At 42.6% G+C, this 15,110-nt stretch overlaps 1 protein-coding gene and 1 pseudogene across 6 annotated transcripts in view, besides 2 other annotated features; one reads left to right on the top strand and one right to left on the bottom strand.

Moving 5' to 3' along the window:
- The window catches only part of KDM5B (lysine demethylase 5B), an 83,927-nt gene that overhangs the window by 9,216 nt on the left and 59,601 nt on the right, over positions 1-15,110 (top strand). The window lies entirely within an intron of this gene.
- SLC25A39P1 (solute carrier family 25 member 39 pseudogene 1) lies at positions 1,915-3,254 on the bottom strand (annotated as a pseudogene).
- Positions 2,347-2,847: an enhancer, noted in NCBI's record as "H3K4me1 hESC enhancer chr1:202765487-202765987 (GRCh37/hg19 assembly coordinates)". NCBI's record gives its function as "activates a minimal SCP1, AML or CMV promoter by ChIP-STARR-seq in naive H9 embryonic stem cells {active_cell/tissue: H9 hESC(naive)}" and the evidence as "EXISTENCE:reporter gene assay evidence [ECO:0000049][PMID:30033119]".
- Positions 2,848-3,348: an enhancer, noted in NCBI's record as "H3K4me1 hESC enhancer chr1:202764986-202765486 (GRCh37/hg19 assembly coordinates)". NCBI's record gives its function as "activates a minimal SCP1, AML or CMV promoter by ChIP-STARR-seq in naive H9 embryonic stem cells {active_cell/tissue: H9 hESC(naive)}" and the evidence as "EXISTENCE:reporter gene assay evidence [ECO:0000049][PMID:30033119]".

Here is a 15,110-nt window from a genome sequence, read left to right as displayed (position 1 = left end):
TCTGACACTGACCTAGGGCTGCTGTCCAGACTAATTAATTGATGGATTGCAAGGAGCTTAAATCCCAAAGCTTTATTTGCTCATTGCTAAGAAGAGTCTGGGGACAGATTTAGTGAGACAAGGGTTAGTGCCAAGTACACATCCCTCATTTTCCCATATAGTGAAGGGATTTCCCCTTGTCCCCCGGGGACAGAGTCTTGCTCTGTTGCCCAGGCTGGAGTGCAGTGGTGCAATCATAGTTCATTGCAGCCTTGACCTCATGAGCTCAAGCCGTCCTCTCACCTCGGCCTCCTGAATAGCTGGGACCACAGGTATACATGCCACCACACCCAGAATTATTATTTTTTTTTAGGGACAGGGTCTTGCTGTGTTGCCGAGGCTGGTTCGAACTCCTGGCCTTAAGCCATCCTCCCACCTCAGCTTCCCAAAGTGCTGGGACTACAGGCATGAGCCACTGCACCTGGCTGTGAAGGGATTGTTTTCTTTTTTTCTTGTTTTGTTGCCCAAACTGTAATGCAGTGGCACAATCACAGCTCCTTGGAGCCTCGAACTCCTGGGCTCAAATGATCCCACCTCAGCCCCCCATTTAGTTGAGATTACAGGCACACACCACCATGCCTGGCTAATTTTTCAAATTTTTTTGTAGAGATGGTGTCTCACTATGTTAGCCAGGCTGGCCATGAAGGGATGTTTTAAAAGTGAAACTTGAAAAGGCAAACCGCACCCCGCAACCCCAAAAAAAGGCAAAAACCCATCATCAAAACCAGAGTATAGCCAGCATAGTGGCTCACACCTGTAATCCCAGCACTTGGGGAGGTGCAGGTGGGAGGATTGCTTGAGCACAGGAATTTGAAACCAGCCTGGGCAACATAGCAGACCCTATCTGTACAAAAAAAAAAAAAAAAGACAAAAACCAATCGAACAAAAAAAACCCTAGAATATATAGACTATAATCCTTCAATTGGTTTAGACAAAGCTTTTCTGTCCCTGAATCTTTATTTTTTTTGAGACAGGGTCTCACTATGTTGCCAGGCTGGAGTGCAGCATGATGTGATCTTGGCTCACTGCAAACTCCGCCTTCTGGGCTCAAGTCATCCTTCCACCTCAGCCTCCCTAGTAGCTGGGACTGGGACTACAGGTGCATACCATCATGCCCAGCTAGTTTTTGTATTTATTTTAATAGAGACGGGGTTCACCATGCTGCCTAGGCTGGTCTTGAACTCCTGAGCTCAAGCAGTCCACCTGCCTAGGCCTCCCAGAGTGCTGGGATTACAGGCACAAGCCACTATGCCCGGCCTGTCCCTAAACAGATTAGTGAGATTAACATGTTTTAAAAGGTAGAGCTGTTAAAAATTATTTCAGAAAATTTGCAGGTGCATTTGTGTGTCTTATGTAGTGCATGTATATAGGCAGGAGTTTAGTTTGGTGAGATTTGTATTAAGAAGGGTTTACAGTGATTTAAATTTCCCCTAATATGGGATGACTGTGACATTGTGGAAGCCACGCAAATAGAAGGATATTGTACTTACTAACATAATTTAAATAATCTCAATTCATGTCTGACAGGAGGGGTCAATAGTTGAAGTCTAGTAATTTTGCAATTATCCTACTTGTAAAGTGGGGAGAAAAGTAGAAGTGGCAGGAAAAATGTTTACCTAGATCTTTTAAGAAAATATTTTAGGACAAGAGCCACCATCATATTTTATTCTTTTATTTATTTATTTATTGAAGTTAATTATATTTAGACTTAAGGAATTAACAAAGGAGCAGGGAGACTAGACCAGGTCCCAGGATATCTTGACTCCTTGGGGCAGGCCCAGCTACAGCAAGCACAGAGGGAAACATAGGGGAGGGGCAGATAGCAGATTTGGTCTTGAACTTGGAGGGTAGGAAATGGATGATCCCCAGGATGGAAGCAGCAGGAGGAAGCTGTGTCTGAGGATGGCCTGGGCTGCCCAGAGGGGCAGCCTACCCCTGGACCCCTGGGGCTGTTGCACAGCGGGAATGGAAACAAGGATCCTCCCCTCAGGGCTGAGGGGTTCAGTCCCTCCTCCCCTCTTTCCCCATCTGTTGGAGAGATGGGGGTCCTTGCCTCCTTGCCCCTTTGAATGGCCCAGATGCTGGTCCTGATTGAGTCTCTTTAAGAGACTTTTGCTGAACTCATAAGTGGTGATCGTGATAGCATAGGAGGGGATAGACTTGATGATCCAAGGGAGGAAGCCTGCAAAGAGCCCTCTGATGCCCGACTTGGCACAGATCCACCTCTGAGCAACCAGGTAGAGTCCGCATCCAGGGATGTCACTTCCACGGCTTCCATCACTCCGAGTGTGGCCTGGTGTTGAGTCTTCATCACGACAAAGGTTAGGGTCAGCACTGTAGCCAGCATCATGGTGATGCTGCCAGCTGCAAAGCTGACTCCTATGGTTGTCATGGGACCATGGAGTTCCTTTGGCCTGAGCCCATTCAGCCAGCTCTTCACTAGCTCGTAGTTGAACCAGTACAGGGCTGAGAAGGGCACATTTCTAAGGAGAGTGGGGCCCCGGCACAGCCACAGTGAGCACCAACCACTCTAAGCCACCGGAGCTCAAACACAGGTACCAGCACATAGTATAACATATGCTAAACCTGCAGCTTTGTCTGCATAAGCTCCAGGGCACTGATGATTGCAGTGATAGTGCCAGGGTGGACCAGCACACCAGCTACCAAGGTTATGTAGAGGTAAGGGCTCAGCCACACAGGCAGGCCTTGAGTTGGTTGTAGGCAGTGAAGTAGTTGGTGGTAGCTGGCACAGTCATCACCAGGGTGGCTGGGAGGCCACTCCACAGGGTCCTGGTGCCCTTGTGCCTCAGAATCTTCACAGAGGCATCCAAGGTGCCAGTGAAGCTGGTAGGGTCTTAAAACCAGGTGGCACAGCGGGGACCATTTGGTCATAGGTACAGAGGCTCCAGGACACCATTGTAGTACAGGATTGGAGAGAGGAGGGCAGCTTGGCATAAGAGAGGCTCTGAAGTCTGGAGGAAGGTGTCAGCTCACTGGCCACCAGCGGGCACTGAGGCTGCAAATGGACCTTCCACCATGTCCAGGGGTGTCACGAGGAAGGAGGTGACCACAGCCCTTGAAACGTGAGACCACCATTTGTTGGAGGGAGCTAATGCCCCCAGAGTCCTGTCAGTCATCTTGCAGCTTCAGTCCTAGCTCTAGATTGGTGCTTGTACAGTGCGAGGCTGGTCAGGCCCATTACAGCTCTGTGGCCTCACCTTGCACCAAGACTGACTCCCTGTATTTTACTCCCTATATTTTATTATTTACCAACAATTAGACAATCTTCACCTTGCACCAAGACTGACTCCCTGTATTTTACTCCCTATATTTTATTATTTACCAACAATTAGACAATCTTATGTTAAAAAAAAAAAGTTAATTAGGACCCCTATGTAATCATATAAACTTAAATTTCCTAGTTTTTTATTCAAATATATCTTCTGTTATTGGACCTCATAACATTGCCTCTTAGGTAAACCCATGTAGAGAGTAGTCCCCTCTTTTTTTTTTTTTGAGATGGAGTCTTGCTCTGTTGCCTAGGTTTGAGTGCAATGGTGCGATCTCAGCTCACTGCAACCTCTGCCTCTGGGTTCAAGTGATTCTCCTGCCTCAGCCTCCTGAGTAGGTGGGATTACAGCGACGTGCCACCACGCCCAACTAATTTTTGTATTTTTAATAGAGATGGGGTTTCACTATGTTAGCCAGGCTGGTCTCAAACTCCTGACCTCGGATGATCTGTCTGCCTCAGCCTCCCAAAGTGCTGAGATTGCAGGTGTGAGCCACTGCGCCCAGCTTCTAGTAGTCTCCTCTTATCTGCAGAAAGGAAAACCACGGATAGAATTTGTCAACTGCTGTCCAAAAATAGGTGAGGACAGTACAATAAGATATTTTGAGAGAAAGACTACATTCATGTAACTTTTATTATTATTATTTTTTATTATTTATTTTTTGGAGACAGAGACTTACTCTGTCCCCCAGGCTGGAGTGCAGTAGTGTGTCTCGGCTCACTGCAATCTCTGCCTCCTGGGCTCAAGCGATTCTCATGCCTCAGCCTCTTGAGTAGCTGAGACTACAGGCACCTGCTACCACGCCCGGCTAATTTTTGTATTTTTAGTAGAGTTGGGGGTTTTACCATGTTGGCCAGGCTGGTCTTGAACTCCTGACCTCAAGTGATCTGCCCGCCTCAGCCTTCCAAAGTTCTGGGATTACAGGTGTGAGCCACCACACCCGGCCCCATGTAACTTTTATTACAGTGTATTGTTTAATTGTTATTGTTAATCTCTAACTGTGCCTAATTTATAAGTTAAATTTTATCATAGGTATGTATGTATAGGAAAAAAACATAGTATATATAGGGTTTAGTATTTGCTATCCATGGTTTCAGGCATCCACTGGGGGTCTTGGAATGTATCCCTCCAGATAAGGGTGGGGACTACCATATGCTACATTTCTATTGTGACTTTAATGTGGATTTTTTGGTCTTGAATCAGTCACTTAATACTGCTTTCTAAATGTATTAAGACACTCCCCAATGGTATATGTACCATTTAAAATTGTCAAATGCTTAGGTATTTTTGTTAGGAGTAGATAGCTAGGCTAAGATTTCTTTTCCCAGCTATGTACTTTATGTGCCCTTAGGCAGATTGTTGTGCATTCTTGAGTTAATTTTTGCCATCTCACTGGCTTGACCAAATTGTAATGTTCAGAGAACTAAAGCCTAAACTTAGTGTGTTTCAAGCACTTGATTGGAACTTTTCATTAAGCACATATTCTTATGGGGCATACATACTACAGGCTACAGATACTGAAACATTTTAATACTACTCTAATCACATAACCCCAGAAACAAAGAACAAATCCCTATCAAGCCCACATAATTACAAGGTCTTTAAGGCAGGATCCTCCCAATTTTCTGTGGTTATACCAACTCATCATTTGGTGACATTTAAACCAGATGGTAATATCTCATCCTTGCCAGGCTTTAACTTGGAAGAGATGGGAGGTAGGAGCCCTTAGGATTTGTATTCTGTTATCTTTATAGGACAGTGGGGAAAGGGGTGGATATAAGAGAAGTTTATACAGTGAAATTTGAGTATTACCTCCACTTTGTAAAATTCCAGGTCTTTAGACTTTTGCCTGTCTCAGAGAGGCTTTCATCCAATATGATGTATTTTGGACAAATTGAGAACAGCCACCAAATTTTCCAGTGGGAGGCTGGCTTCAGGGATTTGTGGTAGAGTATGGGTTTGGGGTTTTTAAAAATTGTGCTTGGTAGCAGCCCACTCTTCTGGGTTCCTCTATAACTACTGTTTTTCTCTGGTAACCTTGTGGCTTTTCCCATCTTCCATTTCTAAAATATATTTTTGATTTATAGAATATATAGTTGCTCATCAAGATTTTTTTGACAAGAACAAAGTTTAGAATTTGATTTAGGATTCTAAGATAATTTGGTTTTGAGGGGTAACATTAGCCAGCTAGGAAATGAAAACTTCAAGAGAATAGAGATTTTGTGGAAAGAATAGAGTAGGAATCAAAATGTTGGGTTTCTGGCATGTGTTCCATTATTTCCATGTTATCCTTGAGCTCCTAACCTTAAGGAGGGTCATGACTATTTTCAGAGCTTTATTCTATTAACCTATCTGTAAAATGGGCAGCTTAAAATATCAGCCCTTCTTTACATAGTGAGGCCCAAAGAGGGAAGGAATCTAGCCCAAATCCTGGTGGAGCCAGATTTGAACTTAGGCTGTGCAGGTCCTCAGTTACTGCTCTGAACTACTGCATTGCCTTTTATATAACCATAGTAATGATACAATTGTGATTTCATGAGATGATTAATGGGAAATTATGAATCTATTATTTTTGCATATATACTTTGTATCCTGGTAGGTTCAGCAAAACAAAAACAAAAGCAACATATTTGTTGGTTTTTGCTGCTAAGGCAGATCCATTTTATAGAAAAGGAAACAAACTGAGCTTGAGAGACTTGACTTGCCTAAGGTGACACAGCCTTGAAAGGACAAATTGGATGTTGCAAACCATGGCTCTTTATTCCCAAGTTCAGTGTTCTTCTAATTTAATATATAATGGCTCCCTTCATAGATCCTAGAAATTAGCCTGCTTCTCTCTTTCATCTCCCCTTACAGTCTTTTTTTTTTTTTTTTGAGAGGGAGTCTCGCTGTGTGGCCCAGGCTGGAGTTGGAGTGCAATGGCACGGTCTTGGCTCACTGCAACCTCTGCCTCCTGGGTTCAAGCGATTCTCCTGCCTCAGCCTCCGGAGCAGCTGGGATTACAGGCACCCACCACCATGCCCGGCTAATTTTTTTTGTATTTTTAGTAGAGACGGGGTTTCACCATGTTGGCCAGGCTGGTCTCAAACTCCTGACCTCGTGATCCACCCACCTCAGCCTCCCAAAGTGCTGGGATTACAGGCGTGGGCCACTGTGCCCGGCCTACAGTCTTTTTTTGACTGTGGTCTTCTCTCTCTTCCTTCTGGCCACCCAGACTTGAATTCATTAATAACAATAGTAAGCTGCATGTATACAGTTATCAAAGTACCATTTAGATTTGTGTGTTTTATCTACTTATCAGTATTTTTGAACTTAGCCCATTCATATACTGTTAGTTTGTTGGCTCATTTATATGTAAACTCCTGGCTCATCAACTCCAGTGACCACTCAGCTTCACATTGGAAGAGTATTTAGGACTCGGGGCTCCCTATATAAATGTACCACTGCCTCCCATTAAAGTCATTCTGGGGTTCATCCCAGAATAACTGAATTAGAATCTCATGTGGGCCTAAGTGTTTGAATTTTAAAAAGCTCCTCCGGAAGCTCTGCTAGGTTTGAGACCCACTGGTTTAGGTAATTTCATGACAGGTTTAGGCAGCTAATATAAGGAATTCTCAAAAAAAAAAAAAAAATCTAAACACCAAAATCCCTCAAAATATAGAAAACAAAATAAAAATAAGAAAGAAAGAAAAAATAAGGAATTATCTTACCTGTTGACTTCAAATTAATCAGAAATTTCTCAGTTCTACTACAGAAAACTGGGCAATTCTTTTTATCAGCTCTGTTGAATGAAGAAATGAATTGAGTCCTTGGAGTTGGTTGTGGTCTCAATTCAGTACTTATTATTGATATGTCAGTAAGTGCATTGTGTTAAAGTCCTAGGTGGCTCATGCCTGTAATCCCAGCACTTTGGGAGGCTGAGACGAGGTCAGTAGTTCAAGACCAGCATGGCCAATATGGTGAAGCTCTGTCTCTACTAAAAATATAAAAATTAGCTGGGCATGGTGGCATGTACCTGTAGTCCCAGCTACTCCAGAGGCTGAGGCAGAAGAATCGCTTGAACCTGGGAGGCAGAGGTTGCAGTGAGCCGAGATCGCGCCACTGCACTCCAGCCTGGGTGACAGAGCAAGACTCCATCTCAAATAAATAAATTTAAAAAATAAATAAAGGAACTCATAATTGACTGGTGAGAAAGATTAGCAAGTATGACGTATGCAAGGAATAGAAGTTATGTACCGAGTGGTTAAAGGTTGGGGGGATATGGAGATGGATGAGAGGGAGCTGTCTGGGAAGGCTTTGCTTCACTTGGATTAGAGTAGGGTTGCGTGAGGAAATAGGTGTGTAGAATGAGAATGAGGGTCATGACATCCTCCTACAAAACAACAATATTCAAGGAAGGAAGAGAATTTGGTTGGAGGTACCAGGAAATGTGTTGTTAGGAAGCTAAGAAGAAAATAGTAAGTTCATTGTTAGTATTTCAGACTTAGGTGGCTTAATGGTGATATTTCTGAAGTCTCAACTCTAGACACAGCTGTAAAACCCTGGAAAAGTAGATAATTACAGTTTTTATAGAGTATATCCCATTGATACCAGGCAGCCATTCAAAAGAAAACCAGTTTTATCAGACTGCAACTTCCTCATATTTTAGGCTAAAGTGGGTTATCTTTCAAATCAAATTTACTTTGGACTATGGCAATAAATTTGAAAGAAATAAAGCATTTGATAATACCAGCGCTACTACAGTCACACAGCATAGTCTGAAATATATCATAGGGTAAGTTTCTTTTAAGATCTTTTGACATACTTTTATCTACCATCCTAAATTGAGCATGCCTATGTATTATTAGTACATCCTTATCTCTTTAAAGTAGGAGATCTAGCCTTGAAGCTTGGTCAGTATGTTAGTTCATTTGTGTTGATATAACTATATCTGAGACTGGGTAATTTATAAATAATAGAAATTTATTTCTTGCAGTACTGGAGACTGGGAACTCTAAGATCAAGGCACTGTCAGGTTTGATGTCTTGTGCTGGCCTGGTCTCCACTTTCAAGATGGTGCCTTGAATGCTATGTGGAAGGGCAAAAGGGGCCTAGGGTGTAGGTTCTTGCAACTCTTTTATTTATTTTTATTTTTATATTTATTATTATTTTTTCTTTGAGACAGAGTCTCACTCTGTCACCCAGGCTGGAGTTCAGTGGTGCAGTCTCGGCTCACTGCAATCTCTGCCTCCCAGGTTCAAGCAATTCTCCTGCCTCAGCCTCCTGAGTAGCTGGAATCACAGGCGTGTGCCACCACGCCCAGCTAATTTTTGTATTTTTAGTAGAGATGGGGTTTTGCCATGTTGACCACGCTGGTCTCGAACTCCAGACCTCAAGTGATCTGCCCACCTCAGCCTCCCAAAGTGCTGGGATTACAGGCATGAGCCATGGTGCCTGGCCTAATTTTTGTGTTAAATATGTTTTGTAGAGATGAGATTTTGCCACCTTGCCCAGGCTGGTCTCAAACTTCCAGGCTCAAGCAATCCACTTGGTTGGCCTCCAAAAGTGCTGAGGTTACAAGCGTGAGCCACTGCCCTTGGCCTGCCATCCATCCATTCATTCATTCATTCATTTATGAGACAGTTTCACTGTTGTTGCCAAGGCTTGGGTGCAGTGGCGTGATCTCGGCTTACCGCAACCTTTACCTCCCGAGTTTGAGATTCTCCTGCCTCAGCCTCCTGAGTAGCTGGGAATACAGGTGTGTGCCACCATGCCCAGCTAATTTTTTGTATTTTTAGTAGAAACAGGGTTTCTCCATGTTGGTCAGGCTGGTCTCGAACCCTCAACCTCAGGTGATCCGCCCGCCTCGCTGGTCTCGAACTCCAGACCTCAAGTGATCTGCCCACCTCGGCCTCCCAAAGTGCTGGGATTACAGGCGTGAGCCACTGCACTCAGCCTTATTATTATTTTTTAGAGATGAGGTCTTGTGTTTCCCAGGCTGGAATGCAGCAGCGCCACCATAGCTCACTGCAGTAGATGGGACTACAGGCACGTGCCAATATGTCTGGATAATGTTTTAACATTTTGTAGAGATGGTATCTCACTGTGTTGCTCAGGCTTGCTTCTCTTGCTCTCTCTCTCTGTCTGTCTTAAGCCTCCCAGGTAGGTGGAACTACAGGTGCATGCTACCATGCCTAGCTAATTAAAAAAAAAATTTTTTTTATAGGGTCCCGCCATGGTGCTCTGGCTGGTCTTGAATTTGTCTTAATTCCTTTCCTTTCCATTCCCCTTTCCCCTTCCCTTTCCTCCTTTCCTTTCCCCTTTTCCTTTCTCCTTTCCTTTTCCCTTTGCCTTTCCCTTTCCTGTGGAGTCTCGCTCTGTCACCCAGGCTGGAGTTCAGTGGCGCCATCTCAGTTCACTTGTCTCGGCTCACTTTGCAACCTCTGCCTCCTGGGCTCAAGTGATTATCGTGTCTCAGCCTCCCCAGTAGCTGGGATTATAGGCGCCCACCACCGCGTCCCGCTAGTTTTTGTATTTTCAGTAGAGATGGGGTTTCACCATGTTGGTCAGGCTGGTCTCGAACTCCTGACCTCAAGTGATCCACCCGCCTTGGCCTCCCAAAGTGCTGGGCTTACAGACATGATGAGCCACTGTGCCCGGCCCTTCTTTCTTTAATACTATTGCAAATGTGTCATCTTTAGATGGGATATTGACACAACAAAGATTTTGCCATCTCGTAGTATTTTTTGAGGCTCAAACTGATTTTTAGTCTCACTTCTGTTCGTTTCTTGACCCTGATGTTGAATCTCCAGGCGTGTGTTTGCAGATCTAATGAGGCCTTAAAGTTAGGGTGTGGGATGTTTAAGCTTCCCCTGCCCTTAGTGCCCAGGTAGGTTTGGGTGTTGCTTAGGCAAGGTTGGGGTCAGAGTCCAACCTCTTTCCTAAATCCCTTCCCCCTGACAGACAGATCATTTTTGGAATCTTTTTAAAGTATATAATCCTTTCTTAACCTTGGCAGCCTCAGTTTTCTGCCAGAAATTTTTTCTTCCCTGGATTCTAGGTATGGAAAAAACACAATGAAAACTAGTTACTAGAGAACCTCCTTGGAAAAGCTGTGAAATTATATATACTTGATTACAGCATGGCTTGATATAGGCATGCTGAAGTAATATGTGCACCAATTATAATTGATGTAGGGGGAAGGATCTGAAATTTCTTCTCATCCCATTCAGTGATTGAAGTATCATAAAATGTCTGTGAATGACATGAAAGAAATAATGCTTTCCTGTTTAGAGGACCTACCAATACCAATACCAATACCAATACCAATACCAATACAATACAGATCATTATTATTGCCAAGTTTTATTAAAAGTGGTAAAAGAGGAATTTAATGTGACGAATGCTTAAAAAGTAAATACCATGGCATATCCCTTTATTACTACTATATTTTTATTTACTAATATTCCGTAGAAACAGTGCTTTGCATTCCCAAGTATTTCATATTCAGAAGCTAAAATAATCTTTGAAACAAGTTCTTTAAAACTGATAGCTTTCACCATGGCCTATCTGTAAAAGTTATAATACAAGTTCTCATTCCTTGGTACTTATTTTTAATAATGACTATTAAAAGTCTACATGATTGTGTTGGTATTTTCAGGGTCTTTTTGGTGATAGGACTTTAGGGAAGACTGGGTTGACCCAGGTATAACTTTTCTAAAAATGTTGACATTGTAAAAATAGGCGGTCAATAAATCACTATTAGTGAATGGAGAATACACTTGAAAGGGCTGTGTTTTAAATCTGGATGAAAAGAGTTCTTTGGAAGGACAGATTGTATGGGGTGTTCTGCAGGGCGTTCAATAGGGCAGTTACTTCCAGGGTGTGGGCCGAGGACCCTTGGAGGGTTCCCAAGACCCTTTCAGTGGATCCAAGAAAACTCCCCCCTTTCAGCTAAATATCTGTGAGAGGCCAGATTTACTTCACATAATTTTTTTTTTTTTTTGAGACAGAGTCTCACACTGTTGCCCAGGCTGGAGTGCAATGGTGGTGTGATCTTGGCTCACTGCAACCTCCACCTCCCGGGTTCAAGCGATTCTGCCTCAGCCTCCCAAGTAGCTGGGATTACAGGCGCCCGCCACCATGCCCAGCTAATTTTTTGTATTTTTTTTTTTTAAAGTAGAGACAGGGTTTCACTACGTTGGCCAGGATGGTCTCGAACTGACCTCGTGATCCGCCTGCCTTGGCCTCCCAAAGTGCTGGGATTACAGGTGTGAGCCACCGCACCCGGCCTACTTCACATACTTTTAACCGAAACAATATACCACACCTGATTGGAGAAGAAATTAAAACCCAGTTTATTTATATTAAACCAGACATTAAAGAGATTTGCAAAATAATACAATGCATTACAGATTAAAGAGATTAACTCATTTTTAAAATGTTTCAGTTTTAATTTCTAATGTGATAAAAAATCTATAGATACAATCCATGTAAATTAACATTCTTTGAGGTCCTCAATTTTTAAGATTTTAAAGGACTCCTAAGGACAAAACATTGAGTTATTGCAGTATTAAAAAGGGAAACTTGGTCGGATGGGTGGCTCACACCTGTAATCTCAGCACTTTGGGAGGCCAAAGGTTGGAGTATCCCTTGAGCCCAAAAGTTTGAGACCAACTTAGTCAACATAGCAAGACTGACTCTACAAAAAATTTCTTTAAAAAATTAGCCTGATGTGGTGGCATGCATGTATACTTGGGAGACTGAGGTGGGAGAATTGCATGAGCCCGGGAGTTTGAGGCTGCAGTGAGCTATGATTGTGCCACTGCATTCCAGCCTAGGGACAGAGCAAAATCCTGTCTCAAAAAGAAAAAGAAAAAAAAGGGAAACTTGATTCTGCAAAGACATGACTCAGTAGGAATAAAGCTAAGATCTTAGCTTTTTGTATATTTAGTAGAGACGGGGTTTCTCCATGTTGGTCAGGCTGGTCTAAGATCTTAGCTTTTTGTATATTTATAAAGACGGGGTTTCTGCATGTTGGTCAGGCTGGTCTCGAACTCCTGACCTCAGGTGATCCACCCACTTCAACCTCCCAAAGTGCTGGGATTACAGGTGTGAGCCACCACGCCCGGCCAATATGTGTATTTTCTAAAACTTCAGTAATAAGCCTTACATTTGTATTAAAATTATTTTAAATCTATTCTGTTGCCTAGCTTTTGCCCCAATAAAAGAACATGCAGTCAAGAAGTTTTGTATAGTGGGCACACAGGAAATGGCATGGTATTAGGTTGGTGCAAAAGAAATCGTGGTTTTTGCCATTTTTGCATTTTTGCTTTAATGGCAGAACTGTGATTACTTTTGCACCAACCTAATAAATGTGAAATACTGCTATCATGGAACCATACCTAGGTTTGCTGGCTACAGTGTTAACTTTTACAGTATACAAGTTCAATTCCATTGCCATCCCAGCAGATCTACTCTCAGTGTGTTGTCTGCCTTTACCCTTGAACTATATATCTAAAAAATCTTAGCAGCTCTTTAAGCATGGAAATCTAACAATATGTGCTCTTATTTTAAAAAGCAAGGTTGGATTGGGTGTGGTGGCTCACACCTGTAATCCCAGCACTTTGGGAGGCCAAAGTGGAAGGATTGCTTGAGGCCAGGAGTTTGAGACCAACCTGTGCAACATAGTGAGACCCCCCCCCCCACCCCCCGTCTCTTAAAAAAAAAAATTAGCTGGTCATGGTGGTGTGCACCTGTATTCCCAGGTACTCTGGAGGCTGAGGTGGGAGGATCACTTGAGCCCAGGAGATCGAGGCTATAACGAGCCAAGTTTATGCCATTGCACTCCAGCCTGGATGACCTTGTCTCTTAAAAAACAGAAACAAAAACAAACAAAAAACAAGCCTGCATTAGGCCACTTGGAAACGAAAGCTTTGCAACATGAATATTTTCCTGAGAAAAACCGGCACTTTTTTTTTTTTTTTTTAATTGGGAGTCTTGCTCTGTTTGCCCAGGCTGGAATGAAGTGGTGCAATCTCTGCTCACCGCATCATCTGCCTCCTGGGTTCAAGCAATTCTCGTGCTCTGCCTTCTGAGTAGCTGAGACTACAGGTGTGCACCACCACACCGAGCTAACTTTTGTATTTTTAATAGAGACTGGGTTTTGCCATGTTGGCCAGGCTGCTCTTGAACTCCTGACCTCATGATCTGCCCGCCTTGGCTTCCCAAAGTGCTGAGATTACAGGCGTGAGCCACCACACCTTCCCAAAACTAATATTTTTTGACCATTTACTTAAATAAAGTAAATGTTGTCTGAGGGTTCTACCTGTATTATTTTACTTAACCCTCACAATTATCCCTTTATTCACATACGTAAGGTACAAGGAACTTAACCTAGTACAAAGCCGCACAGTAGTACCAGGATTTGAACCCAGGCAGTGTGACTTGAGAATCTGTCCTCTTTGACATCTATTTTGATGTACAAGGTAAAGGTAAATGGCCTCACTGTGTTTTAAAAAAAATGACCATCAGAGAAATAACAATGGGAAAATATAGAGGAGGTTAAAATGGAGAAATACAGAGGAGGCCTTTAACCTGTGTTAAAGTGGCTATGATAAAATGTGCTAGTTGACAGTTACATGCCAGCTAGGGTTAGGCTGGAAGGATAAGGTCCTTAAAGGTAAGTAAGGTTTAGAGGTCAGATGCTCCTTGAAAGTTGAGGTTGCAGCGCTTTTTGTATAGGAAGATTCATATTTCAGTGGTCAGAACTTAACATAATTATAATTGTTACTTTTACTTTACAATTTAATGAAAAAACCTTTATATTTGTAAAATCAGTTCTCACCACAGTCCTAAAAGGTAGTCTGTACTTTTTTTTTTTTTTTTTGAGACAGGCTCTCACTTTGTCATCTAGGCTGGAGTGCAGTCTTTGCCTCCCAGGTTCAAGCAATTATCATGCCTCAACCTCCTGAGTAGCTAGGATGACAGGTGTGCGCCACAATGCCCGGCCAATTTTTGTATTTTTTGTAGAGACTTGGTTTTGCCACATTGGCCTGGCTGGTCTTGAACTCCTGGCCTCAAGGCCTGTCTGGGCCTCCCAAAGTGCTGGGATTACTGGCATGAGCCACCGTTCCTGGCCCTGTTTGGAAGACTTTGAATGCAATTCTTTGTCGTACAAAACTTTTCTGATAGACACCTATCAGTGAGTGGCAATTAGACTCCATCAGGGGCTCATAAATAGTTAACTCTGCTTGTCTTTTATAGGAGTTTATAATGGTTGTGATAGACCTAGTTCTACCTTTTGCATTTGTGCAGGTGTTTTAAGGGCATATTACTGACCTGAAACCATTCATTTGATGAGAAAGTGGTCTTTTATGTTTCATATATCTGTTATTCTGATCTTTATATTAAAGTTAAATTTTGTCATCCTCACCTGAAAGATTTGCTAACTTGCAAGTGCATTTATTCTATGATGACTGGGTTTCATAGAACATATACAATTAAAACAATGCTTTGGTCCTTAGTTGATGTTATTCTTGGTAAACTAACAAGAATGTGCTTTTGTGACACTGATTTCTAATTGGTTTTGTCTGCAGGGAGTTAGAGCCAACTTTCGTAGCCTCTGTAGAGCATATACTTTTTCATTTTGCTAATTATCAGATCTCAAAATGACAGCCTTTCTATAATTAGAAGGATAAAAACAGTATTCTAATATATTAAATATGTGGATGTTAATAGCACATCCTCTACAGAGTGAATTTTCCTGGCATTTTTTGGAAAAATCTTCAGCATCTTTTGAAA

The sequence above is a fragment of the Homo sapiens genome, chromosome 1 (assembly GCF_000001405.40).
Source record: "Homo sapiens chromosome 1, GRCh38.p14 Primary Assembly".
Classification (NCBI taxonomy): domain Eukaryota; kingdom Metazoa; phylum Chordata; class Mammalia; order Primates; family Hominidae; genus Homo; species Homo sapiens.
Note: the sequence above shows the minus strand (reverse complement) of the source record. Positions and strands in the feature narration are given on the sequence as shown.